This window comes from Homo sapiens, chromosome 5 (genome assembly GCF_000001405.40).
Source record: "Homo sapiens chromosome 5, GRCh38.p14 Primary Assembly".
NCBI lineage: Eukaryota > Metazoa > Chordata > Mammalia > Primates > Hominidae > Homo > Homo sapiens.
In genome coordinates, this window is record NC_000005.10 from 79,132,289 (window position 1) to 79,135,751 (window position 3,463).

The following is a 3,463-nucleotide window of genomic DNA, read 5'->3' on the forward strand; positions in this document are numbered from 1 at the left end:
TATTGCTTGTATTTTATTCTTATCCTGGTTCTACAATTTGCTAAGTCTTACATGAAACCTCTATACCTCAATTTCTTCACCTATTTAAAAGAAAAACCTACTTCACAAGTATGCTGGAATTTTAAAGGAGCAGGTGGCAGTATTTAAAAGGAAAAGAGGCCCTACTGGCTCTTTCTGGAGAGCCAGTCAGGGAATTCTAGAAAACAAAAATAGGCCAGGTGTGGTGGCTTACGCCTGTAATCCCAGCACTTTGGGAGGTGGACGGATTACTTGAGGATAGGAGTTCAAGACCAGTTTGGCCAACATGGTGAAACCCTGTCTCTACTAAAAATACAAAAATTAGCCAGGTGTGGTGGCACACACCTGTAGTCCCAGCTATTCGGGAGGCTGAGGCATGAGAATCACTTGAACCTGGGAGGCAGAGGCTGCAGTGAGCTGAGATTGCACCACTGCACTCCAGCCTGGGAGACAGAGTGAGACTCTGTCAAATAAATAAATAAATGGAAAGGCAAAGAAATTGCTAGAATTTTGTTACTAAGAGTTAATAATCCACCCCTAATCCCTCAATGCACAGAAACAGAGCCAAAGCAGCACAACTTTCAGAGGCTGCATATGGCTAGTGGAAACAAGAGTGAACTCCACTTGTTTTTTGTTTTTTGTTTTTTTTTTTGGCAAAGTTGTTATCTATCATTTCTCTTATATTCTCAAACCAAGCTCAGTATTTAAAGCTTTCACTCACAGATGACATTTTATTGGACTTGCTGTTCTATTACTGTGTAAAATGCATGTTCCTTTAATATTCTTTTCAGAGTTTTGTTGCCACCAAAATATTATAACCTTTAATCATTTTTATATCCATCGTTTTTTAAAATATTTTTCTGAAAAGGAGCTATGGTAAAGACATTCTTGAATTAAATTATATGTCAACACTGCCTCCTAGTGGTATAGTTCATATTTTGAAATTGTTTTTAAAATTTCAGTCCCTCCTCCAAACATGTGCATTTTATTTCCAGAAATCTTGTTCATTAAGAGAGAAAGCTCATTTAATACCTAAGAGTTGATTTATGTTAAATAGACATTTCTCACTGGTAAATATTTTTTATGGACTCCGAACCAGAGGGACCTTAGAGATCAAAAGTCCAAACTATCCTTTTAAGGATAAGATTACCAAGGCAGGATGCAAAGTCAGGAAGCACTTCTCACTATTCCAAGGCTGTCAAGAAAGACGGCTTTAGCTTAGCCTTTTGTAGGAAGGGTTGGGGAAGCTGGGGGGCAGTACCAGAACAGATGGTCCACAAAACTAAGGAGTCATCCTCCAGCCAGGAATAAAATAAAGGTCTTTGGCGTTACTCAGAGTAAACATGAACTCACTAAATAAACTGTTTGCAGTTTGTACTCTGACACTTCTACACACTGTAGCAAACCACCTTTGGATAAGACAGCCAAGCCAACGCAGACCCCTAAAGGAAACAAGAACTGCGCAGGAATGAATCAAGAACATCCGTTCCCAACTTCTCCAGATGGGGGCAGCAGGTCGCCAGCAGGAAATGCATGAGTAACCTTATTTTGTTTGAACTTAAGTTATTTCATCAGGCTAAGCTCTAACAGTTTTGGTCAGTTTTTTCTTAAGACATGTGGATCTTTGAATCACATCCAGGACAACGCACCCATCAAGAAAAGCCTTTAACAAGTTTGAGTCAGGAATTAAAAAAGAGGAAGGAAGGGAGAAAGGGAGGGAAAAAGGGAGGGAGAACGGGAGGGAAGGAAAGAAAGGAGAGAGGGAGGGAGGGAGGAGAGAGGCAGGGAGGGAGGAAGGAGGGCGGGGAGGGACTGCAGGAGAGCAGGCAGGCAGGCAGGCTTTATGCATCTCCAACTAGATCCCCATTTTCCCCAGAAACGTTTTTTTTTTTCCAGCCTTCAGCACACTGAAGGGCTTGAGGGCTTTATAGACTGTTCTCCCAAATAGCCTCCTTGATAGTCAATAACATCCACTCAGTCAGTCTGGAACCTCCCACGTGTTACCTGCCAGGTCAAGGACCCTGGCTCTTAGATAACAAAGGAGGAAGAAGTCAATTTCAAGAGAGAAAAATAGGACTTATGAACGGCTTCAGAAATAGTATGCCTGGTGGGATGTTAAACGACAGAATTAGAGATAGCAAGGTATAATATTTCTAAACATCTTCAGGAAGGAATATTTAGTGTTTGAACAGAAAATGATGAAAGGCAGGCAAATGCAAAGAATTCTCAAAAATGGTAACAGGAAGGGTAGGATCCTTTGGTAAAATTGGTGGGAGTGTGGTGAGAGAAAGGAATGGCCAGAAAATGCTTCCGGTTTTCAAGCAGCTGGAGGCATTCTGTTGGCATTGGATAGATGAAAAATTAAGATGATGGAAAATGAGAGAGACAGATGTCATCATTTATGCTGCTGTGAGTTACAGGAATAATACCAAACAAGTCATGTACAGCAAAACAGTAAAAACAGGTTAATTTATATGCCATGAAATCAAACGCATGATCATTTTAACTTGTGGTTAGATGGTTAGATGTTTACATTTAAATTTATTAAAGCTTCCAGGCTGGGCACGGTGGCTCACGCCTATAATCCCAGCAGTTTGGGAGGCCAAGGCAGGCAGATCACTTGAGGTCAGGAGTTCAAGACTAGCCTGCCAACATGGTGAAACCCCATCTCTACTAAAAACGCAAAACTTAGCTGGGCGTAGTGGCAGGCGCCTGTAATCCCAGCTACTTGGGAGGCTGAGGCAGGAGAATCACTTGAACTTGGGAGGCGGAGGTTGCAGTGAGCCGAGATCGCACCACTGCACTCTAGCTTGGGCAACAAGAGTGAAACTCCATCTCAAAAAAATAAATAAATAAAAATAAAAATAAATAAATTTATGAAAGTTTCCTATGTAAATACTTACATGAAATGTATTAAGGGAAACATTTCACTTATTTTTAATAAAAAGATATTTCTCTAAATGCCTGAACTATCTTTAGCAGTCATCACTTGCATGCAAACTGTTAATGTACCCTTCAGAAATTATTCCAGTTTGTTCTTTTGGGCAGGTTCAGTAAGACCTCTGCTTGGCCCCATTCTGTGGTTATTTGTTCCAATTTACTACATGATCTTGAAAGGAAAAAGCTGAATATCTTTTTAAATAGTTCAGACTTTTTCTCAAGTCAGCCTGGTCATTCTTCCAATTATTCTGACTTAATGAGATTTTACTGTTCTTTGCAAAAGTTAACGTCCTAAACACCTGAGGTAGCTTAGTGGAATTCACCTATGGCTCAAAAACACTAGTGGCACATAGCAGAAAAAGCAAGGAAGACATTTAGAATCAAGACTTTGGGGTGCAAGTCCTAGCTTTGCCCCAACTCCCTGCAGAACATTGGGTAAATCACCCCACTTCTCTGTCCTTCAATTTTCTCAACTGTAGGATAACAAGTTTCTAATGCCTTGCTG